The sequence below is a fragment of the Homo sapiens genome, chromosome 20 (assembly GCF_000001405.40).
Source record: "Homo sapiens chromosome 20, GRCh38.p14 Primary Assembly".
NCBI classification, from domain to species: Eukaryota; Metazoa; Chordata; class Mammalia; order Primates; family Hominidae; genus Homo; species Homo sapiens.
The window spans coordinates 10,493,108-10,518,241 of record NC_000020.11 but is presented as its reverse complement, the minus strand read 5'-3'; the positions used below and the strand labels follow the sequence as shown (position 1 = coordinate 10,518,241).

The window sequence follows — 25,134 nt, the reverse complement described above, 5'->3', positions numbered from 1 at the left end:
TAAAGTTAGCAAGTATATCTTCCTAACAGAACATTAACTTTTCTAAACAGAACTCTTTTTTTCCTTCAACTTTTAAGTTCTGGGGTACATGTGCAGGATGTGCAGGTTTGTTACGTAGGTAAGCGTGTGCCACGGTGGTTTGCTGCATAGATCAACCCAACACCTAGGTGTTAGGCCCAGCCTCCATTAGCTATTCTACCTGAGGCTCTCCCTCCCCCTGCCCCTCCCCACTCCCAGTAGGCCCCAGTGTGTATTATAAACAGAACTCTTAATTTGTAAACTACTATTTATTCTCGGTTTGCTTTTTGGGAGAAATAAAATTTCACCTTAAAAACATAAAATTTTCCTTCTGGAAGGAACTTGTATATAGCAAATCCCTTATTTGACAAAGGCTGAAACTAATGAAGGCCTAGAGAAGTTAGAAGACTTGCTGGGGAATGCAGGGATGATAAGCTGACAAAGCTGCTGAGCACCAGCCCAGGTCGCTTCTCCACACCTCCAGGGAGGGTGGCCCCATCATCAGCACAGATGGAGGGCTTCCTAAATACCCAAGATGCTCTCCTCACTTATTCCTCACATCAACCCTATGCAGCAGGACAATTAGCCCCTGTTCCAATTTACTGATGAGAAATGTAGCTACTGAGATGTTAGCAAGCGGCCTACGGACAAGGAGCTAGGAGTGCAACTTGGGCTGCTCATTTGTCTCCAGAGCCTGACCTTCTAACTCATAACATATGTCCGTCTCCCTAAAACCAATGCTTCAGATTTTCATTTCTTTTAATAAATGTTGACATTTTTCGTTTCTAATAAGTGGGAAGATTCTGACACATCACTTCTGTTAGAACACTCTGTTTATCCCCACCCTACATCACGTTCTGGCCTATGTCCATTCTTTGTCTTCAATCTGGTCCCTCCTCTCATCTGTCCCTGAATTTTCACCTTGTCAAGCCAGACTGAGGGGCAGAGCAGTACCCCTGGTTTCTGACAGTGTTATAAAACAAGTGTGATATTGACATTGACCCTGTGAGGGTTTGATGACAGTCTTTCTGGTATGGTACCTATGGAAACAAAGAACCAGTAAGAGATGGGGTTCAGAGAAATGATCAGTTTAGAACAATTTCTTAAATTCTTAGGAATGCTTTCTTATATGCAAGGGCTTGACAATGTAAAATGATCAGAATGTTCATACATAGTTCCTCCCATGCTCATTCAAATACATTAGTCCAGCAGGTTTTAAGTTGCAGGTTGACCTAAAAGATAATCTTGATCTCAAAATAAATCTACTAAATATTGTATAGATTGAAGGGAAAGAAAAGGAGACCTCTCTGAGAAGCAATACCATATTTGGACTTAGGAATCCACTGGGATGTAAAACATAGACAAAATTATGGGCCACTTTAGAACAAAGCTATAACAGCCCAGACATTTTTTCATTCTGTGAAAGGGAAAGATGAATAAAAGCCAATGGAGACAACCTAACCCACTTTGAAATTTTCTTTGCTGATGCCAGCAAATTCCTTCTGAAAAAAATCACAGCAGCAAACTTATTATTACTTGATATTTCTATCACAGCTGTCTTTGATGGGGTGAGCTTCTGAGGTTTTCCGTGTTAGACCCATCTTAATGAAGAAGGGCTATAAAGCAATGAATCTGATTTGTTACAAAACATCTCAGAACAGACACTTACAAACAAGCATACGTCTTAGAAGGCAGAATGCTCATTCCTCAGTGCTGCCAACCCACAGCAATTTCTTTTCTGTAACAGCCTAAGATTCAGTTTATAAGCCTCAGTAGAAGACAAACCTCATTACCTTAGAATCATACCTCAGCTTTGCTCAATAACATTAATCAACATTAATCTGTTGAAGATTAATAAGGTGATTTTCTCTGAGTTGAAAAACTAAACTTACTTTCTCTGAGCTAAAAAAACTAAACCTTTCCTCAAAGAATAAAAACTTGCTAGCATTGACATTTTGTGTATGTGTGTACCTACCCATGCCTAGGAAGGCACCACTATCCCAGATACTAAGGTGCAGATAAAAATAGCCTCACGAGGCCAGGCATGGAGGCTCACACCTGTAGTCCCAGCATTTTGGGAGGCCGAGGTAGGCAGCTCCCTTGAGCTCAGAAATTAGAAACCAGTCCAGACAGCATGGTGAAACCCCGTCTCTACAAAAACACAAAAATTAGCCAGGTGTGGTAGCACATGCCTGTATTCTCAGCTTCTCGAGAGGCTGAGGTGGGAGGATCACTTGAGCCCTGGAGGCAGAGGCTACAGTGAGCTATGATCACGCCAGTGTACTCCAACCCAGGTAACAGAGCAAGACCAAGTCTCAAAACAACAACCACAACAACAAAAAAACCTCAAGTAACATGTGAGAGAGCTGTTCTCACACAGCAAAATCAGGTGTAAAGACTTTATCTCTCTTAAAATATCAGCTTTCAGAAAGAAATAATCATCTGATACCAACCATACAAATACACCTAAAAGCAAAGTTTTTAAATTTAAAAAAGTTACCATTCAGATAGAATATTCAGGCTAGTGAACTAAATGAGCTATGCTTATGCCATGAATTTCATCCAGAAGACATCATTTCCTTCCAAATACCTGAGAAATAACAGTTTCTTAAGTCCTTAATGTATGCACACTATAATTGTAAGTGTTTTGACTGGATCTCATTTGGAGTAAGGAGCCAACACTTTTAAATAAGCCAAAACAAAGTAAAACTGGTAATTACATTATAGGACTTTATCCTTGTTTTAATACTTTCTTTCTGAGCTTTGGAAAGCAACTATATCACTTCAAAGGCACACCTGTTTCACCAGAAAATAATTTCTCAAAAACATGCTTCAGCTAGGTCTGGCACGGTGGCTCATGCCTGTAATCCCAGCACTTTGGGAGGCTGAAGTTGGCAGATCATCTGAGATCAGGAGTTCGAGAACAGCCTGGCCAACATGGTGAAACCCCGTCGCTACTAAAAATATAAAAATTAGCTGGGCATGGTGGCAGCTGCCTGTAATCCCAGCGACTTGGGAGGCTGAGGCAGGAGAACAGGTTGAACTCAAGAGGTGGAGGCTGCAGTGAGTCGAGATTGCACCACTGCATTCAAGCCTGGGTGACAAGAGTAAGACTCCGTCTCAAAAAAAAAAAAAAAAAAAAAAGCTTCAACTTACAAATAAATGTGAATTTAACAAAAGACGCATCGACCTTCAATTCTGCCCCTCAAGAGTGTCCTATTTTCTAAAATACTTCAAAAATGGCCAAATCCAAATTGTCCACATTCCCAAAGAAGAGATCTTGAAGCCAGAGAGTCCTGTGTTCCAAAGTTGGTTTTGCTGCCAATCCTACTAAAAATTGCTTAACCTGACATACAGCGGATGCAACAGGGTGGTGGGACACTTCTCCACCTAAAAAATACAAAACTATAAAGGAAATGTACAAAGCACTACATTAATACTCACCCTATTTCTGTTGTCTCTTCTTACATAAAAACTACTTTCACAATATGCTACTTGCTCCTAGGCTTATGAAGCTCAAACCTTTCAAAGCTGCTTAGAAGAATTTCTCTCAATTTGACACAAGTTAACTTGACAGAGAAGAAATACATTTTTTAACCACATTAAGGCTCCCAAGTGGCCCATTAAAAGTGTTTGTAATTATTAGTACAGTTATTAAATACTTAATGCATTGTACAGAGGGTGATCCTTCCGTGCTACAAGAACTTTAACTTCAGCATAATCTGACCAGAATGCTCAAACAGGAAAGCTAACTGTTTGCAGATTTTTGCACTTGGTGCCCTAATGTCAGTTAAAATGTGGAATACAAGAGGAAAGAATTTAGCCAAGAGCTTAACAGAACAGAGAAAGAAGTTGGGGCAAGAGTCAGGCAAACAGGAAACATCCTCTCATTTGTCCTGATGCCAAAACGAACTTAAGACAGTTGTCCTGGGGCAACATTCAAAATCTGGGAAAATGCACCAAATAGAATACACCTCAAAGGATACATTTTAAAAAGTTGGGGCCAGGAGGCATATTCACCGGTTTCCCACTCTCACCTCCCACTCCCCGGTAGAGTTTTGTAACCAAACCTAGAGGCACCCTTCTTTGCACTTTTCTTTGAATGAGTAGCTTGCAAAAGCTCCAAATGACTGTCCTCATTGTGGTTAGGGTCACTGCTTTGGAAAATGTACAAAAAAATACCACCCAGAAATAATAAGAGCTGATGGGAATTATTTTTAAAGATTTCCTTTTGGCATAGGTTTATCTAAAGAAGGCAACTCCCCTCCCTTTGAAAATTATGTACAACTTGGTGTTCTCCTTAAATCACTGAGCTAGAAGTAGGGGGCCTAAAGTATAAGAGTCCAGAGACTAGTGTGGGCCACTCTCCCTCCACTGTCCTCGCTAGAAGCCACAGGTGTCCCACAGAGATGCACATCTTAAGTGCCAGGCAGATGCTGTGCTGCATACTGACTACTCTGCTGCAGAGGGGCAATGGCCAGTGATAGGCACAGCTAGGACTCCTCCAGTCCTTCTAGCCCTTGGGCCCAGCCAGACAAAACCCTGGGAATGCCAGAGGCAGCTCTAATGCAAAAGGCAGCCTCCTACTCTTCCTAAATCCAAGGATGCCCTTGCCCACCTGGCATCTTCTGCCCTCAAGTCTCTCCAGTGCCCTGAGATTTCTCTTAACCAGCAGGCCTAAGGATTTTGTAATGAAAAGGTGCAGCTAATACCCCCGACTTCCATGATGTTTGTACCTAAGATGGATAGGATGAGAGGTATGTCTTCCACCTCTTAACCTCATCCCAATCTTCTCCTGCTTTGATTTGACTGATTTATTAGATTTAATTATTTCACACCTGTTCAATCTCCCAGCTTGGGTTCTGGAGCCAGACAGTGTAGGCCTGAATCCAAACCAAATTTCCAGCTCTGTGACCCTAGGCAAATTTCCTAAGCTTCTGTGCTTCAGTTTCCTCGTCAGTAAAACTGAAATAATAATCATACTTAACTCCTGGGGTTAGCAGCTGTTTCCTAAGATAGGCCATATATAAAGCCTTTGGTACAGTGTCCAGCACACAGGCACTACTCCCAAAAAGTAAGCTAGGGATGCTCCTCTAGGAGGTCTTCGTTTTCCCTCCTTGAGTTTTCCTTCACTGCCAGGACCTCTTCCTGGACTAGGACAGGATAGAAATCTATGGAAAAGTCACCTGATGCAGAAAAGTTCTGTTGTAACAAAAAATGACTGACCATGGTAAGGACATAAACCAAAGTTTCTATTTCACCTTAGTCTCATTAAGAAATTTAAAGTGGCTGGGTGTGGTGACTCACACCTGAAATTCTACCACTTTGGGAAGCTAAGGCAGGAGGGAGAAGTGCTTGAAGCCAGGAGTTCAAGACCAGCCTAGGCAATAACAACAACAACTATATATATATATATATATATATATATATATATATATATATATAGAGTGTGTGTGTGTATATATATACATAAAATATATATACACAATACATATACTATATATAAAATATATATACACTATATATACTATATATAAAATATATATACACAATATATATACTATATATAAAAAATACTATATATACTATATATAATATATAATACTATATATATTTTATATATATATAATGTATATATACACACACCTATATATATATAAAATTAGACAGGGATGGTGGGGCACAGCTGTAGTCCTAGCTACTTGGAAGGCTGAGGCAGGAGATCATTTGAGCCCAGAAGAGGTATGATTGTACCACTGAACTCCAGCCTGGTTGACAGAGCAAAACCCATCTCTTTAAAAAAAAATACTTAAAGTGACATAATACCAGGATGACAATACGTTAATTTATTGACCAAGACATTTTTGAAACTAAAAAGGGGTGCTATTAATAATTATAACAAAACATCTAGGATTCTCCTACTTAGCACCCACTTGTAAATTCTTTCTCATTATCAAGAAAAACCCCATTAAGTGAAAATTATAAGCCAAGGTCAAAACCCAGCTGTTGCCTGTTTTTGCAAATAACATTTTACTAGAACACAGCCATGCTCACTTGTTTACATATTGCCTATGTCTGCTTTTGTGCAATAATGGCAGAGATGAGTTAATGCAACAGAAACTCTATCACTCACAAAGTCTAAAGGATGTATTATTTGGCTATTTACAGAAAAATTTTGCCAACCCCTGTTCTAGACTCAAGTAACTCAGAGACATTGCTTTCCAATCCCATAATCTCACATTTGTATGCTATTATCTGACAAGAAAAAAATACCAAATTACTTCTCTTATGATAGGCATGAGTTTTTACTATGCAACAATTTCATGTTAAATTTCAATAAATTTTAGTTTCATACTTAATGAACATTATTACACATGGAATGGTCAAAGGAACTCAACTATTTACTAGAGAAGAAGAAAACCACTGTGGTCTCCACACACAGGAAGGGCTGTCACGTGAAGAGGGTGAGTCAGCACCGTGTGGTGACTCAGCACTCTGCTCTCAGTCTGGCCACCTAACTGTGGGTCCTTACGTTTTCCAAGTGTCATCTGCGAAGCTGGGGTAGTAAGAGTACTTTCCTCACAGGGAGGTGGTGAGCATCAAAGAAGATGGAACACGTCCAGCTGCTGTACTGCTTTTCTTAAATTAGTCATTTGTGCTTGCTGTTACTGGTGAAGAGCTGGACATACTCTGCTGGCAAAATTAAAACAGCTGGAGGTAGGTTTCAAGGAGGCAGATTTCAGCTTTCAGCTCAACTTAAGGAAAAGCCTGATCGCCTTACTGTCTGCCTGGGAGTCAGGTGAACAGACAGTCTCATGGAGTTCAACATCCCTGACAGTATCCCTAGGGCAGTGTGAGCCCCATGGCATGGAGGATTCAGAAGGGATTGCAGGAGAGTGAGGATCTGACTAAGACTGCCAGTGCCATGTGTTTTTATCTGAGACTATGATGAAGAAAGCTTTGGGAACGCACACCATCAGCCCCATCTTAAGAACGGGGAAATATGTAGGATACACCAGAGAGTAAATAGGTGTCAGCAGATTATGAGAACAACATATTGCAAACTTTTTAAGTTTTAAAGGACCACCATCAACTCAGAACAGAATAAGGACACAACTTGGTTCCATTTTGCCAAAAAGGTAAATGGAGGGACAAGAACACGGCACCAAAGCCAGGTTCTCTGATAAAGTCACCCGGGAAGCGGCCCTGTCTCCAACAACAGGCCCAGTGGTTTTGGCTGGCAGGGTCCTTCAAAGGTACAGTGTGCCCAATTCATGCTGCGTCCATTCACCCTGGGCCCATTAATAATTTGCCAGGCACCGCCGGGTGCGATGGCTCACGCCTGTAATCCCAGCACTTTGGGAGGCCAAGGTAGGTGGATCATGAGGTCGAGAGATCGAGACCATCCTGGCGAACATGGTGAAACCCTGTCTCTACTAAAAATACAAAAAGTTAGACATGCATGGTGGTGGGCGCCTGTAGTCCCAGCTACTTGGGAGGCTGAGGCGGGACAATCACTTGAACCCGGGAGGTGGAGGTTGCAGTGAGCCGAGATTGCGCCACTGCAGTCCAGTCTGGTGACAGAGCGAGACTGCATCTCAAAAAAAAAAAAAATAATAAAAATAATAATAATAATAATAATAACAACAATAATTTGCAAGGCACCTAAGGCCATGGCCAGGCTCTCTTTCACTGCAGCTTGCTCTATCTTTAGTAGAGCTGGACAGGCTCCACCAGCAGGGCTCCGTGCTCCCCGCTGATACTAGCAGGAAGCAAGATACTTGACTGCACAATGGGCCTGTGGCCCCAGCTGCCCATTATCCAGGATGAAAGGTGTGTGTGGCCACAAGGAGTATGGCTCATGCACTCTTTAGCACCCTAAGGGCTTGGGGATCATTTGTTCAGTCTGAATACAAATCAAGGGTAAAAACCACATGGCAGTGTCACAGACATGACAGATGTAGTATCCAGTGCATGGACGGCACACAGCCTCTTTCCCTTCACCAATCAAGAAGAGTGACTAGTAAATGCTTTGACCATTTTCTTCTTTTAAAAAGGAAATTTTAAAAATTTAAAATTATATTGTTATTCTTCCTTTTAATTCTGCCTGTTTGACTTAATATTATAACATTAGGCTCAAAAATGACCAGTGACTTTTTCAATGACCTTGTTATTTAAAATTCTGTACACAGAATGTTAATAGCTGCATAATATTCTATTATATTGCTGTGTCAAAATTTATTCATCAGGCTGGTGCAGTGGCTCACACCTGTAATCCCAGCAATTTGGGAGGCCGAGGCAGAAGTTTGAGGCCAGCCTGGGCAGCAAAGCAAGGCCCTGCCTCTAAAGAAATTTTTAAAATTAAAAAATAGTTAGGCATGGTGGTACACACCTGTAGTCCCAGATACTGGGAAAGCCGAAGGGGAGGACTGCTTGAGCCAGGGCTTTGTAGTGAGCTATGATCGCACCACTGCATTCCAGCCTGGGCAAGAAAGTGAGACTCTGTGGCTTAAAAAAAAAAAAAAAATGTATTCATCATCCCAATGCGGGACCAACTGTCCCCATTTTTTCACCACTGTAAACAATGCTGCAATGAACATCTTTCTGGATGGATCTTCGTCCACATAGTGAATCAGCTGCAAACTACTTTTCTTTAACAGGAAGAGAATCTGGTCTGTATCAAGGCGATATCCTACCACACTTGGGAAATGAGGTACAGGAGAGCGACCCTCTACTTTATAGTGTTGCCAAGGCTGTCCAACTTACTGGTTCAGATAAATTACAGCCCAAAATCAGAGCAATTTCACCCATGGTGGTCACTGTTCCACAGTGGGGACGGTGCTCTGCTGGTGACTATCAACTCGGTGATCTCAGTCATTTTCCATTCAGGGCTTTAGTTTCTTCAACTGCAAAACTATAAGCTGGAATGAGATTATCTCCATGTTCCCCACTATCTTTATAATTGAATAACAGAAATAATTGAAAGACCCGGGAACAACAATTTCACAGTCAGAGTACCCTAATGCTGAATTACAACCTGATGCCAACTACCATGGCAGTTAAAAGAGACTCCGTGCCCCTGGCACTAGGTCAGACGTTGTGGGTAGAATCACAGGGGAAAGGGAGTGACACCCTGACTCGGAGTGGGAGGAGGGAGATTAACCCATCACAGAGCTACTAAGGAATGCTTACAGAGCCTCACATAGCAGCACTGACCTCAGCATGATTCTCTTGGGAAGGCCATAAATCCAAATGTGTCTGCCAGCCAGTATCAAAATGTCAGGCTGGGATGTCTAACAGACACCCCAAGTTAGGCCCCAGGGTCTGCAGGGAACCCTCAGTGGAGAGCCACTCACTGGGAGTCGTCTTTGGCTGTACCCAGAATTTACTTAATTTGACTATCTCCTTTCCCAGGCCCCAGCGGATGGAACTCATAAATAAAGAGTGAGAAATGCAACTGAAGCAGAGTTAGAAGCAGGCTCACTGACAACAGCAAGAAGGGATAGCTGCCAGCCCACGGAGAAGGAGAACCAGTAAAGTTAGCAAAAGCAGGCAGAAGAGTTTCTAAAGCAACATACTCTGCAAAGCAGTCTGGGCCATGTACTGTAGGAGCAAGTTGCCAGCAGCCCCCGGGAGCATGAATGGATATAGCAACTGTTGTTGAAAAGAACAATCCTGATCAACCCACATCAAAGGCTAATAGACCTCATTTAAGAAGACAGGGAAATGTAAATCTGTGAGATACTTCAGGATCATTTCTATCAAAAGCGTTTCATATAATAAAGGAATAAGCCTCAGTTATCTGGAAGGGTCACCCCTGTTGAGCAGCTCATTTGCTGAAGATATCACAGGGGCAAGGACAAACTGACCCAGGACAAATCATGCTACAGGAATGCTATAAAGAGAAGGATTTTCAGGGCTGGGCTCTCTTAGGCTCTGCCCGCATTGGCATTGTGCCTAGCACTGTGTTAAGCCCAAACTAGGTGCTCGCCAAGTAGGCTGATGCTCCAAGGGCAGGGCTGTGGGCACACACACTGGCTGACTCCGGCCAGGTGAGCACTGGGCCACAACCTGCCAAGTGTCCTCTCATATAAGGCTGGCTCTCTTCTCTACCTCCCCTTCCCCCAGATGCAAACCAGAAACAGGATCTGCTAATAAATTATTAGGCATGATCGCCTCTAGCATGGGGAAAGCAACTAAGAATGGTAATTAGAAGTTTAATGTTTACGTACACACACAAATGTGTGTATATATATATCAAATATACACATATGTGTATATATATCTCAAATATACATATATGTATATATATATATATAAAGGAGACTGTATCCCTCTGCTCCTTGTATGCCTTTTAAGTATTCACAGAGAAATAATAAAAAAGGCTGGAAGCAAACATGCCAAAATGTTAACTGCTGTAAATTCTGGGTGGTTGGCATAAAGTGCTGTTATATTATTCTTGAGACTTCTTTTTTCTTTGCATTTTCCAAATATCTCAAAAAATAAAAGATAATAGGCTTCTGTCCCAGGAGGTATGTCACTAAATCATGCATCCATGTGTCTATCCCTGCAAATACTGACTGCTTTCCTGGGCCTAGTATTTGTTGCACTGCTAGGATGCAGTGGTAAACCAGCAGATCAAATCCCAACCCTCATGAGGTTTTTGGTCCTCAGGGTAAGTTTATGCTGGGTTCATTCTTCCTCTCCTCTCTGAACTCTTATGAGATGGGCAATCAGAAGAGGGTGTCTCCTCTTCCACAACTCATTTCACACAAAGTAAAACCCAAACCCCTGCCGTGGACTATACAACCTTACCTGAGCAATCTCTTCCCACCTTTCCCACCTCATCTCCCCACTTTAAAGGGGCAGTCATAGTGGCCTCTTCCTCTCCTGTCTTGGTCTTTGGCCCTGCTGTTCCTCTGCCTGGGGCACTCCCACCTAACTCTACACATGACGGGTTCTTCACATCTTCCGGGTTTTAGTTCAAATCGCATATCCTCATTAAAAGGCACTTGCCTCCTTGCTTGTCAAAGGCACTGGCCTCCCATAGGCTTAGAACACTGTCCCTGAGACACATCTGAGCTAACTCCCTCATCTCTTCAAGTCTTCTCAAGCAGGCCTTCCCCAGCCACCTGATTTAAAATTGCAGCTTCACTTGAGATTTGCCCAGAGAGTAGAATTTAAGTGTTCTCACCGCCCCACCACACACAAAATGTGAGGTGATGAAGGTGTTAATTAGCCAGATTGCAGTAATCATTTCACAATGTGTAAGTTCATCAAATCATCACATTGTACACCTTAAATATATGCAATTTTTATTTGTCAATCATATCCCAATAAAGTCGGGAAAATAAACAAATAAAAATAAAATTGCAGCCTGTCCGTTCCCACACCCCCTGCTGCCTCACTCCTCCTGATACCTTTCACCTGGTTCTGCTTTTTCCTGTTGGATAGTACTGACTGCTTATGAACATGCTCTACAATTTATGTCTTTATTCCAGTTATTGTTTATGGTCTGTTTCCTGTACTAGAATGTGAGACCCCTAAGAGAAGAAAATGTGCATTTGTTTTGTTCACTGACACATCCTAAGGGTCTCAACAGTGCCCTTGGTAAACATCTCATGTTGAATTTCATAGCAATCATAAACATCTTCTTGTTTACCTGATTACTTATTTAGTGTTTGTTTCTCTTCAAGAGAGCCAGAGAGTTTGAGCAAACAACATAAGGCCTGTCTGTCTTGTTAAATTCACATGCCTAGCATGTAGAAAAGGATTTGACACATTTGAGGTGTTCAGTAAATTTATGAAACAAAAGAAAACACTGTCAAGCTGGGTCCAATGTGGGTTTTTCAATAAAGAAACTGCATTGTAATCCAGCCACCCATTTTCCTTTGCTTCCCTGAAAGAATCTTAGCCATCTGAAAAGGAATCATTATTTTAGCTAGCATAATCGCGATGCAAAAATAATTATTTCACTTATTCTGTACCCCAAGTTTGGAAGTCAACTACAGACTCTAATTGCTGCCTAAATCCCAGTAGTAAACAAACCAGCTTTGCATTTTATATGTTACCATGAGGTTCTCCGGGTTTGCTCCTCAGAGCCAAAGAAATGTTGACACAGTTGCACACCAAGTTTCAACATGCTGATCATGTTAAAATAGTGCACAAGAAATATTTTTCCACTTTATAAAAAGCCAGACTGTTTACATGCTTAAGTGGCCAGAGACTATGCTATCTGTGTGTGGTCCTGAAGTTTCAATATCATAACCATGAATACAAAATGGAGCAGCATGCAATAAACTAGTTTATGTAGTTTCTCAGCCAAAATGGGAATCAAGATGTTACCGTGCAAGAGCTCATAAATGGGCAGGTTAGAAAAGGGGAATAATTTTAATATATTTTTGAAAAAAAAAAGAATTAATGTAATACAACTCGGTTATATTTATACGTATATAATACAGACAAACATATTAAATAGAAGATGAGAGAGACAGAGGACAGAAATAGCTCACAAGGTCTTTGGCCAATAGATTTCTTATCAAGATCACACAGAAATATGCTGAGCACAGCATTAACTACAAGCCCAGGATCAAGTGGTAGAAAAGATCTATGAAATGGTTACCAAACACGGATCTTCAGTACAAACATGAGAGAGATGAGAGGCGTTCCTTCAGCTTGGCCCAGTAGCTGAACATAAGCCTTGTGCAACCTCCCAGGAGCACTCACCAGAGGAGGGGCCCTAAGTTCACAGTCGGGCTAAAGAAGACATGCCCTGTCTCCTATGTCTTTTCCATTTTCCGAGTAGCACTGGCTTTGGTCTACAATAATTTAGTCTTTCTTCAAGCTAGAAATAGAATTTAAGCAGGGGCTCCACCCTGTCCAGACAAGATATAAGTGAAAAGAGACCTCACAGAAAGAAAAATTATCTACATCTGACTAACTGAAGACATGCACACATTCCCAGAGTCTAGAGTTTAAATGTTCAAGACAGTTTCTGGATTCTGGGCTGTTTGCATTTATCATTCCTCTAAGTCCCCAAATGCTTCAGGTTAGTGAGGACTGCTTGTTCTCACATTTTTAATAGCTTTCTACTTGAAGAAAGTTCTCAGTACAGTGTGTCTAAACAAAAAAATAAATCACTTAATGTGAGCAGGTTCATGTTGCAACACGAAATGCCACTTCCCATTTGATTGCCAAATGCACAAACTGTTATTCTCAGTTGACTGAATAAGTGAAAGAATGGTACTTCATTAAATTTTTTTTTTTCCTGGCATTATCTTTTTTTCCTCCTACAGTTTCTTTTACAGAGTCTTCCGTGGCTATAGGTCGGAACAGTTTTCCTGTTGCTATGAGAACGGCATAAATAAGTCAAGTTTAAAATTCACTTTGGGGGTATGGAGCCGCCACAGTTCCGGCTACCTAAGCCCTCCTGGGTGTGTGTTGCGTACTCTTCCCTATAGGCAGTGGATCACAGCCATTTAACATGGCCTTCCTCCACCATGGCCCATCTTCTGGCCAGAAAAATCCCACAAGCCTCGCAGAGGCCCCCTCTAACTGCTTGGGCTTCTACACACAGACCTAGTAATGGTCTTCTGTGCTGCAAGGAGAGAAATATAAGCTCAACATTAACATTTCTCCAAGTGCAGAAATTCATGGGCCTCCCAAACTCCACCAAGCACCCTCCTACTTCCTCTACAACAATGCCACTGAGCAATGATCAAAATGAGGAGCCCTTGGAATACATTTGGAAGGGCAGAATAATGGGCCAGGAAGCGGGTCTAGGAAGGGGCTCTTTACATCCCCTGCTGTAGCCTTCCAGATCTGCCTCACCGAAGGTCCAGGGGCTCCCACAAGGGACCAGAGCTACATCTGCAGGAGGGTGGTTCTTCCTGTATTTTCAGGGCATTCTCTATTCACAATTAATCTGTCCACTCTTCCAGTGCTCCTGGACCTCAGAGACAGAAGGTATGCTTGTCTCACTTTACTGAACTGCACTCCAAGGTTTGAAGATCAAAAACCCTACTCCTAAGACAAGCCAGTCAGTGAGGACAACAGTATTTAGGGAAGCTCAAGGCTGTCAAAGGAAAGGTCAAGAGCGCTCTCCACCCTTAAAAATATCTAGGCTTTCTTCATGGCTGCTGCTTCTTTCTCACGAAGAGCATTGTGGGTTTAATTGTGGGCTGAACTGGATATCATAAGATCCAAAAGATATTAGGATAAGTCCTAACTCCCAATACCTGTGAATGTGACTTTATTTGGAAATAGTCTTTGCAGTTGTAATCAGGTTAAGATGAGCTCATTAGGGTAGATCTTTAATCCAATATGACTGTTGTTCTTCTAAGAGAAGAAGACAGAGACACAGAGAGAAGAGCTGTGTAATGACAGAGGCAAAGATTGCAATGCATTTACAAACCCAAGAAGGCCTAGGGTTGCCAACAAACACCAAAACTAGAAGAGGCAAGGAAGGATCTCCCCTAGAGCCCTCAGAGAGAAAGCATGGCCCTGCCAACACCTTGATATCAGACTTCTGGCATCCAGACCCATGAGACAATAAATATCTATTGTTTAAAGCCACCCAGTTTGTGGTTGTTTGTTACAACAGCCCTAGGAAACAAACTCAAAGAGCAAATTTTGCCTTGAGCTAAGAAACGAAGTCATGTCATTTGTGAACAGAGATGATGCCTTTCAGAGGAAAGCAAAGCTGCTTGCAAAAGCATAGGGCACACACATCAAATCCTCCCATGGCAAGGTGGCAGCAGGCTGGTCCAAAGAGCAGGTCCACAGAAAACAGCACATTTGGCTACTTCTTAAGGGTGCCTGGCAATGTCTGGCTCACACTTTCTAGGTTGCTTCAATGGTCCATCCAACCCAGCCACACCTCTAGGCCACCTATACTAAACTCTGCCAGTCAGTCACCCGCCAGCTGTTAGGGAGACTCAGTGGCTAGTTTAACCCTGTAGACCTCTGGCGGACAGCAGGCCTGAAGACTCAGAAGGACTGCATCATATACACCCTTGGGTCCTACCTTAACCTTGGCATACAGAAGAGTCCCATTCATACCCAGAGTGAACCCTGCTGATATAAGGGAATGTGGGAGGACAGATGGCAGGGTAGGCCATAGTGAGGTGGCCAACAGTTGTATCAATGCTGGAGGTGTGTCTAAGGCAGCACAAGGCACTACAACTAGAGGAGGAACCAGACTCACAGTCACCAATATCAAGGTCAAATAGCAAGAAAGATAACATGAGCCATCAGGTCTAAAGAGCCAGATGCCCATTGTGAAGGGCTACTAGAACATACTACTGGCAAATTCTCTAAATATTTACTGAGCACCTATTATGTGCCAGACATTATTTTAGGCATGGAGGATAGCAGTGAATAAACCAGGTAAAAATCCCTGTCTTCATGAAGCTTGCATTAGAATAGAGACAGACCAAAAAGAAAAAAAAAAAGGAAACTATTTAGCCCATTAGATGATGACTTGAGTATGATGAAAAAGAATAAGGCAGAGAACAAGACAGAAAATTTTGGGGAGGGGGCAGTTAACAGAGTAAATGGGGTGGTCAAGGAAAGCCTCAAAGAGAAAATGATGCCCAAAGAGAGGGAGTACACGCTGCAAATATCTGGGGGAAGAGCATTGTAGGCAGCAGGAGTAGTAAACACAAAGGCTGTGAAAAGGAGGCTGGCATCTTCGAAGAAGTCCTGTGAGGTTGAAAGTGAGTGGGTTTGTGAGCGGGGACATGTGAGTGTGCATGCACATGCACAGAGAAGAGTCAGATCGGAAGGCCTGAGGGCATGGGCTTTGCCTCTACATAAGATGGCCTGGATCAATACCCCAGCATTGGAGCCGAGGAGTGATGGGATCTGACTGGTGTTTCACAGGATCCTCTGCTGCTATGTAGAGGGCAGGCTGAAGGGAGGCGAGGGCACAGAGACCAGGTAGTGCAGAAACACATGGGCCTCCCAACTCCTCCGAGCATCTGCAGTGCCTCCCACTTCCTACACAGAAATGCCACAGAGCAATAATTAAATGGAAGCCATCTCTCCTCACTTAAAGGGGTAAGTGCCTCACCTTTACTAGCACTGAGGATTACAAATCTTTGCCAGTGGTGTGCAGTTACTTAACCCCCTTGAGTATCTATGCTTAAGAAAAAATGAATAAGCCGCCGTTTCGGCCCCACCCAGTGAAAAATCTGCCAATAATTGGCTTATTGAAACTAAATGCAAACCAAAGATCACATCTAGGTTTATTTAAAGACAAACGGTGTGCTCTCATCAGAGTACTGTAAGCAATGTGCCCATTACATTTTTACATAGGCATTCAAAACATGCATATAAAAGTAGTACATTTGCTTAAAAGTCTTATAACAAAATACTAGATTTTTTTTAAAAAGTTGTCTGCGTCTCGGAAGAAAATGAAAGGAAATGAATACATTTTGACACGAACTTTTCTTCATGGCCACAACAATTCTTGTTTCACCACCAGACTGCTTTAAGTCTGTTTGTCTGGGTAAGTAGAAGCAAGGAAAACCTGCCATCTGGCATGACTGCCATCTCTTTGTGGCCACACAATAAGTCTTGGGCAACTCTGCCTGCTGCCCTCGAGAACCAAGTGGGGTGGCAACAGCGGAGAGGAGGTAAAACAAGGAGGCTTCTGTGGAGGCAGAAGTATTTATCATGAGCAGTTCCGCCTCTGAAGGAAGGAGATTGCTGTGGGGGCTGAGCACTTTATTGCTGGGCCCCAGCTTTTTGGCAACTGCAAACAGTCAACTTGCAGCTCTTTGGGGAAGGTGAATTTACAGATGAGGACAGCTCCTTTTTTAGCTCTGGTTCCTTTACTACTCATTAGCATCTTTTTTTGAAAGGATAGACTGTGGGGGGAGGGGAGAACAAATAAGAACCAAATGTAAATTAAAGCATTAGTTTCTTTTGGAGTATAGCGGAAATTTTTCTGCACTGATTATACATACATTATTATATAATGTCATTATTACTCCCTCCACCATCACTAGCATTTCTAAATATGGTAATATTATATAACTACAATGTTTTTCACCTATTTTTGCCATCATCATTGTAAGTACATATGGCTAAACTTGTGCTTCATATGGGAACTTTCGCGATTTATTTTCAGGTGTAATTCCTGTAACTAAGCCACCAACTAGTTTCATCAAATATCACCATGGCAGTGGGGAAGGAAGCCTACACCAAATGAACACATGAAAACACTGGTTCTACAGGATTCTAATGCATTATCTCCCTGCAGACATGGCCTTAATCTGTGCTTATGTAACACACTCTGCATTCAGCCTGAGTTTGGAAGCATTTCCAACAAGAACATTATCCATAAAACAAAACTGGTTGCAAATTAGAATCCTGAAATGAGTACCTGAGACATCATGAGGGGCAAAGCATGCAATGGTAGACCCTTACAAATGTTCATATTTTTATTTACTTATTTTATTTATTTTTTGAGACAGGGTCTCGCTCTGTCATCCAGGCTAGAGTGCAGAGGTGCAGTCATAGCTCATGCAGCCTCGACCTCCTGGGCTCAAGGAATCCTCCCACCTCGGCTTTCCTAGTAGCTGGGACTACAGGTGTGCACCACCACGCATGGTTAATTTTTTAATTTTTTTGCAGAGACAGGATTTTGCTATGTTGCCCAGGCTGGTCTTAATTTCCTGGACTCAAAGGATCCACCTGCCTCAGCCTCCCAAAGTGCTAGAACTATAGGTATGAGCCACCATGCCTGGCCCCATCTTTTTCCACACATGAAGAGAACCACACATAGAACTTTAACACATCAGTGGCTCATGCCTGTAATCCAAGCACTTTCGGAGGCCAAGGTGGGTGGGTCACTTGAGGTCAGGAGTCCAAAACTAGCCTGGCAAACATGGTGAAACCTCGTCTCTACTAAAAATACAAAAAATTAGCCGGGTGTGGTGGCGGGCACCTGTAATCGCAACTCAGGAGGCTGAGGCAAGAGAATTGCTTGAACAATTCAGAGGTTGCAGTGAGCTGAGATTGCACCATTGCACTCCAGCCTGGGCAACAGAGTGAGACTCAGTCTCAAAAAAAAAAAAAAAAAAAAAAGAATTTTGACACATAACATCATAAATTCAAAGTCTTCCCCATCTATCTAAACCCAGAGCTCAGACCACAATGTCTAATAAAGGGACAGGGTTCTACATAATCTTCTGGTCTCCTGACAAAAGAGGTGTTTCTTAAATAAGTCATCTAATAATTGTACAATAACCATGTTTTAACCACAGCTTTTCTTTTTCCAACTTTGACATGTACCATTTCCTTGAATTCAGTTATTGGGTTTATTTGTATTTTTGACAGCAGTCATTATCATGATTAGCTATACATAGATTTACTCTTCTAGATCCAGTTAAACCCAGGTTATAGATTATAACAGACCTAGAATATTTAACTTTTATCATTTTGACTTTTAAAGGACTACATTTTAAAAATATCTTTTATCTCCAATCAAATGGATACTATGCTATCCTCTGTGAAAGGAGGGTAAATAATGACCTTGTTCTCATGTATAGTCATACCTTTCAGCATTTTCACGGACATCAAAAAATTTGTCTTGTCTGTAGGTAATACTACTAATATATTTAAATATTTCCTGTGCCAGGAATACAAATGGGAAGATGAAGCACATTGATTTTCATGAAAATTATCATTCATACAACAGACACTGTTTTTCAAGCAATAACCCATTACTGGATCCTGAAATCAGCTTACTGATTTACAACCAATATGTTTAACTGAATGCAATGAATTGTCTAGAATTGAATAAAACAAGGTATATTACATGTTACAAAGCTACATATTATTTTGTGATACTTTGGTTTCAATTATTTGTGTAAATGCATGTGTGCGTGCATGTTGTGTGCATATGCATATTGTGTATGTATGTTGGGGTTCTTCAAATCATGTAAAATGTATTTCTTATTGTAAGTAAAGTTCAAAGATAGACAAGTGTCTGTCATTTAACTAAAGAGAGTAAGCTATAAAAGTCCAAGCCATATATAACATAAAGAATTAAAGTTGAAAATCTGTATTAGACCCATAATTTTTGTCATTAAAGAAGTTAATAAGATCACTAAATTTAAAATAAATAAAAATTTGTTCACACATATAGTTAAGATAATAATGATTGCTGTAAAGATACAAAGTAGGGAGTAGAGATATTTTAACATCCAAAGCATATGTAAATATACATATTTTAGTTGTGATCATCCTCAGTGATAATTTATTGTCCAAATGCTTTATGTTATTTTTCCTACCTAGAAGAGGCCAATAAGAATCGCTATTGTTCTAACCCTATACAGGGTAGAATGATATGATAACAAAGTAAATTTGTCTAAAGCAGGAAATTTTTAAAAATTAGAGGATTTTCAAAAAGAATTTTAATATGGATATTAAAAATCTGAATCTTGAGAATAAGGGACAATAGACTCAATTACAATAGAGTGTCAGGTATAATCACCAGTTGTAAACTCCGTCACCACAAAAAAAAAAAAAGAAAAGAAAAGAAAAAAGAAATTGCTACAAGCACCAAAGAACCTCCCATCAAGATGATACAGTTAAGTGCTTATTTTGAAGCATCCCTATGGCAATGATCAATTTCCTTAAAACCATCCACAAAATATTACAGTGTTAAGACACTTCAAAACTGAGATAACCATTTCATGAGACAGAAATGGACCTGAAATAAGCAGGAGGCAGGGTAGATACCACAGAACTGGCAGGGGCACAGGAGGCAGGGTAGATACCACAGACCTGGCAGGGGCAGTGGGAAGTTCCATTCTGCAGAGTAATGGGAGAGATAACCCCTGAGGCCACACTGGGTGGGATGGAGAAGGACTCGCCAGAGGAAAACTTCTGCTAACAGATTGACCTAGGGCACTGGCATGATAGGAAGCTGTAAACACAGGGAGGCAGGAAAACACAAACACAGCCTCAGGAACTGAACAGAGCTGCCCACTGGCTCAGCTAATAGATTAACAATATCTAATTCACTGCAAGACAGATGATCTGAAATTATATTACCTATGTCATCAAATCTAGGATGCCAATAATTGTTAAGGAAGAATATTGCTATGTACCACTAAGAAAAAATATTGCCAGTTAAAATGATATATCCATGAATTATAGATGTATCCCAATCTGAAAGATTTTAAAACATGAAAAAAAGTGAGTCATGGAACTGATAATATGCTCTATGACTTGGCTCTAGACTCCATGGTGAAGGAGTAGAGAGAAGAGAAAGCTGGTTCTCAGTGAGAAGAGGCCATTTTTTAGAAAAAGCAAGATTGGTGGAAGGATTGCATACAAAGGGCAACAGAGGAAAAATTAACACCAAAAAAAATTTTTTTAAAGGAAGAAGCAGCAGCCTACTCAAAATGAGCCTCCAAACCAAAATTCCAAAGTATATGAAGAATTCTAATATTAAGAAAAGTGACCAACAAAGTCAATAACCAGAAAAATAATTTCTGGAACAGTCTATTTGAATTCTAAACAAGTACATTTAAGAAGTTTAAAGAAATAAAAACATCATTTCATTAAAATGAGTAAGAAATTATAATACAGAAAGAGATAATGCTGATAGGAAACCGATATGAAAAAATGATAAACACAAGTAATAGGGCAGAAATAAAGTTTCCGAAAAAAGAAAGCAAAGAGAATAGTAGAAAACCATATTTGAAGAGGGTATACTAGAGACTGCCAAAATTGAGGAAATGATTCCTCAGATGAAAACACCTTTGAGTACAAAGCAAAAAAGATAAATCCACATCTAGACACTATAGTGAAAGCATAAAGTATCAGGGATTTTTTTAAAGTTGTAAAATTTAAAAGTTATCACAAAATCTAATGGCAGATGTCTCATCTACAGAAAATGGAAGAGTGCCTTCAAAATATTCACAGAAAATATCTGTTGACCTAAAATTTCATACTCATGTAAAATAAACTGCCATCCAAGATTCAATGCAAAGTAATTTCTGACATTGAAAAACTAAGTATCAATCAATCAATGAGGGACAGACTCCCACAGTCCCTCATTAAAAGAACTATTAAATGTTTATCACTGGGAGAAAATGCATGGGATACCTGAAACAATAGTGACGCCAGATACTGATTAAAAACAAAAAAGAAAAGAAACACACACACATAGATACATACACTTAACTTCTGATTGAAAAAATATTAATAACCAATTCATTTTATATTAAGAAAACACTGTGAAAGTTGTTCAATGTTTAAACAAAATGTGCTAAGTCTAGGTCACATATGGAAAAAGGATAGAAATACTGAATGACTTTAGAATTTGCTGAAAAATGTTAGAATGAAATCCATGAGAGATACTGTAGATGATATGACCCCAAGCCCCATTCTTAATTTCTTCCTGGCTTCCTTCCAGCTATAGAAGGCTACCTGGCACAGTTCTAGCCAACAACAAAAGCCCCTTGGGTGCTACTCCCAGAAGTCTTTGCTTTTCTGACAAAAAGAAAACTCCTCAGTGAGCACGCCTTTTTTTTTTGTCCATTTGGCCTTTCCCAATTCCCTCCTGCCTAGTAGTACATGGATGTGAGGAAGTGCAGCTGCCAGCCTGCAGCCATAAAGCTATAAGAATGAGGAAAAGCCCCCAAGTTATGGGATGATAAAGCAAAAGATAGAAAAACCTGGGTCCCTGATGGTAGGTCCACCTCTAGGTTTTGTTTCGTGCAAGAAAAATAACTCCTATTTGTTTGTGACTCTCTAATTGGGTTTTCTGCTACTTGCATTGAGTATAACTTTAGTAGTAAAAAGAATTATGAGCAAACTCTAAAAGAAGAGAATTACTGTGTATGATGAATTAAGCAGAAGACAGGAATAGGAAAAAGAAGACACAAAATAAAGGGCTAGCTAGGAGACCTGAAATGTTGCCAACACGTAGAAATGATCAATGCTCGGGTGATGGATACCCTGACTTGATCATTACACATTCTATGCACGTAATAAATATCACATGTATCCCAGACACATGCATAAGCACTGTGTATCAATTACAAAAATAAAATAATTTAAAAAGAAAAAGAATGGCAAGCAAAAAATATAATGTAGTAGAAATAAGTCCAAATACATTAATATTTGCAATAAATGGAACCAATGAATAGGTGCAGAAAAAAAAAATCAACCAAACAACAACAAGAAACAACCCAGCTATTTGCTACTTACCAGAGAAGATGCACAAAAAGGGCTGAAAAAGCAAATGTCTTTAAAAATTTAACCAAAAATGAAACAAAATTAAAAATCAACCAAATAATAACAACAACAAAAAAAAACCCAGCTATTTGCCACTTATCAGAGAGAATGCACAGAAAGGGCTTGAAAAGTAAATGTTTTACAAATTTTAACCAAAAGAAAAACAGGTGAAGAAATGTTAATACTGAAATATTAATAGCAGACAAAACAGAATCTTAAAGGAAAACCATCAGAATTACTAAAGATGGATACCTAACAATATACATAGAAAAATCTATGAGGATGATAGAATAATCATGAACTTGTTTATACTTAGCAGTGCAGCTTCAACATACATAAAGCAAAAACTGACAAGATATAAGGAAAATGTGACGAATCTATTACTATAGTGAGAAGCTGAAAAACCAGGCAAAATATTTAAGCAAAAACATTAATAAATAGTGAAATTAACTTATCTGATTATTTAATAGAATCTTACATTTAATAAATCTGGACTACGAATTCTTTTTAATTATACTTTAAACATTTACAAAACCCCGACCATGTACCAGATCAGAAAGGAAGTCTCAACAAATTTCCAACAATGGTTATCACACAGACCACATCCTCTAGCCATAATGTGGGCAGTTAAATTAGAAACTGACAATAGAAAATATTCTCAAAAGGTATTTGAGAAATTTAATATGCAATCTTAAAAAAATCAGACAGTAAGGAGAAAATGACAATGACAATCACAAAATACTTAGAAATTAATAATGTTGAGAGTACTATATCTCAAAACCTGTAACATGCAGTTAAAGTGACTCTTAGATATATTTTACAGTCATATACGTATTTTCATTATTTTTAATCGATGAATAAAAATTGTATGTATTTATTCAGTACAATGTGATGTTTTGATAAATGGGAAAAATGTGGAATGATTAAACAAGCTAATTAACATATCTATCATCTCACTTGTCTTTTTTTGTGGTGAGACATTTGAAATTTAGTCTTCACAATTTTGAAATATACATTATTAATAACTATAGTCACCATGAGGTACAACACATCAAGAACTTATTTCTCCTAACTGAAACTTTGTACCCCTTGATGGCCATCTCTCCATCACTCCACAAACTCTATTATATGTACTTTCTAAGACAGAAGAAGGAATCAAAATCAATTCAGCCTAAAATAGAGTAAACTAAAGAAAGAGGAGGAGACAGAAAGACAAAGTGGGAGTAGGGCCAGGGGGAGATAGGAGGAAGAAGGGAAAAAGCAAGAGGGTAAAAGGAAGAAAGTAGAAATTAAGCAGAAAATAAGAAAAACAGCAAATATTAACAAAACCAAATTCTGGCTCACCAGAAAAACTAAGCAGGCAAACGTCTAGCACAAATAAACAATATTGGATAAAAAGGAGGATAATGTTAAATACAGAGTTTTATTTAATTAAAAGAGAAAACTATAACTCAATTCTATGTCAATATATCTAAAAACAGATGAAATAACTTTTTCTAGAAAAATATTAATAACAGACTCAAAAGCATTATATTGTATACAAACCAATAAGCATTAAAGAAACTTATAATAATATAAATATAATAATGATATTATAACAGTAATATAAATAATAATAATCTTAAATAATCAAAAAGCTTTATTTCCATCCTCCGCCCTAGAACCACAGGCCCAGGCAGTTTCACGAGAGAGTTTTATGAAGTCTTCAAAAAATGGATAATTACAAACTATTACAGAATACTTTTAAAGGGGTGATCCATCATTTAACGAGATTAGTAACAAAGTCAACAACAACAAAAAAAGAAAGCTCATTCATAAAAAGTTTCAATAATGCTAAATTATACTGTCAAAGCAAAGCAGAGTTTATCCCAGGAATTGTAAGATCAACACATCTACTAAATGCCGTATTGAGATATTAAAGGATAAAATACGATCATCTCAATAAATGCTCTTAAAAAGTCTTCAAGTCCAGGTGTGGTGGCTCATTCCTGTAATCCCAGAACTTTGGGAGGCCAAAGCAGGAGGATCACTTGAGGCCAAAGGTTTGAGACCAGTCTGGGTAACACAGTAAGACCCTGACTCAAAAAAAAAAAAAAAAAAAAAAGGCAACTATAAAAAAAACACTTCAGTAAAGTTTAACACTCATTTTCAAGACAACATAGTTGCAAAGTAGACCAGTAGGAAACATTTTTCATCTAAAATGTGTTATGTATCAAAGCCTGACGCAGACATTGCTCTTAATAGTAAGGCTTTAAAATTATTTCCATTAAAGTCAGGCACAAGACAGGAATAACCACTACATCTTCTATTCACATTGCATTGGTCCTAGGCAATGCAATAATTCAAGAAATAGAAAATGGATATATAAGAATTGAATGTTCATGCATTTAAAAGGGCTGAAAAAAAAGAACTTAATGAAAGAGACAAAAGTTACCTTATCTGTAGATGTTGACTATACATAAAATATTCAAAAGAATCTTGGAAAAACTATTAAAATATGGGAGTTCGATATGGTTGGTGGTTTCAACATCAATCTAAAAAATGAATAATTGTCCTAAATCCTGTGATAATCTATTATAAAATGTAATAGAATAAAATATCCAATTTATAGTAGCAACAACGAAAAAAATGCCTGGAAACAGACCTAATAAAAAATCTTATTTAAGGCCTCTATGGACCTAGTTCAAAGACAAGACTCAGAATCATAAGACTGCAATGCTCCCCAATTAATCTACGAACTCAATATTACTTAAATCAAAATCCCAAATGTTTAAGGAAGATCAAAGGTCACAGAGTAGCCAAGGCAATGTTGAAAAAGAAAAAAGTAGAAAGATTTGTTCTGCTAGATGAAAAGAC

General features: G+C 39.6%; 1 protein-coding gene across 1 annotated transcript in view, besides 4 other annotated features; it reads right to left on the bottom strand.

Annotated features, from left to right (window-relative positions):
• The window catches only part of SLX4IP (SLX4 interacting protein), a 192,726-nt gene that overhangs the window by 109,789 nt on the left and 57,803 nt on the right, over positions 1 to 25,134 (bottom strand). The window lies entirely within an intron of this gene.
• Positions 6,307 to 6,601: an enhancer, noted in NCBI's record as "tiled region #2397; HepG2 Activating DNase matched - State 5:Enh, and K562 Activating DNase unmatched - State 5:Enh". NCBI's record gives its function as "activates a minimal TATA promoter and a strong SV40 promoter by Sharpr-MPRA in HepG2 and K562 cells {active_cell/tissue: HepG2 | K562}" and the evidence as "EXISTENCE:reporter gene assay evidence [ECO:0000049][PMID:27701403]".
• Positions 6,307 to 6,821: a biological region, named in NCBI's record as "Sharpr-MPRA regulatory region 2397".
• Positions 6,342 to 6,821: an enhancer, noted in NCBI's record as "active region_17546". NCBI's record gives its function as "activates an Ori minimal core promoter by ATAC-STARR-seq in GM12878 lymphoblastoid cells {active_cell/tissue: GM12878}" and the evidence as "EXISTENCE:reporter gene assay evidence [ECO:0000049][PMID:35858748]".
• Positions 10,899 to 11,038: an enhancer, noted in NCBI's record as "active region_17545". NCBI's record gives its function as "activates an Ori minimal core promoter by ATAC-STARR-seq in GM12878 lymphoblastoid cells {active_cell/tissue: GM12878}" and the evidence as "EXISTENCE:reporter gene assay evidence [ECO:0000049][PMID:35858748]".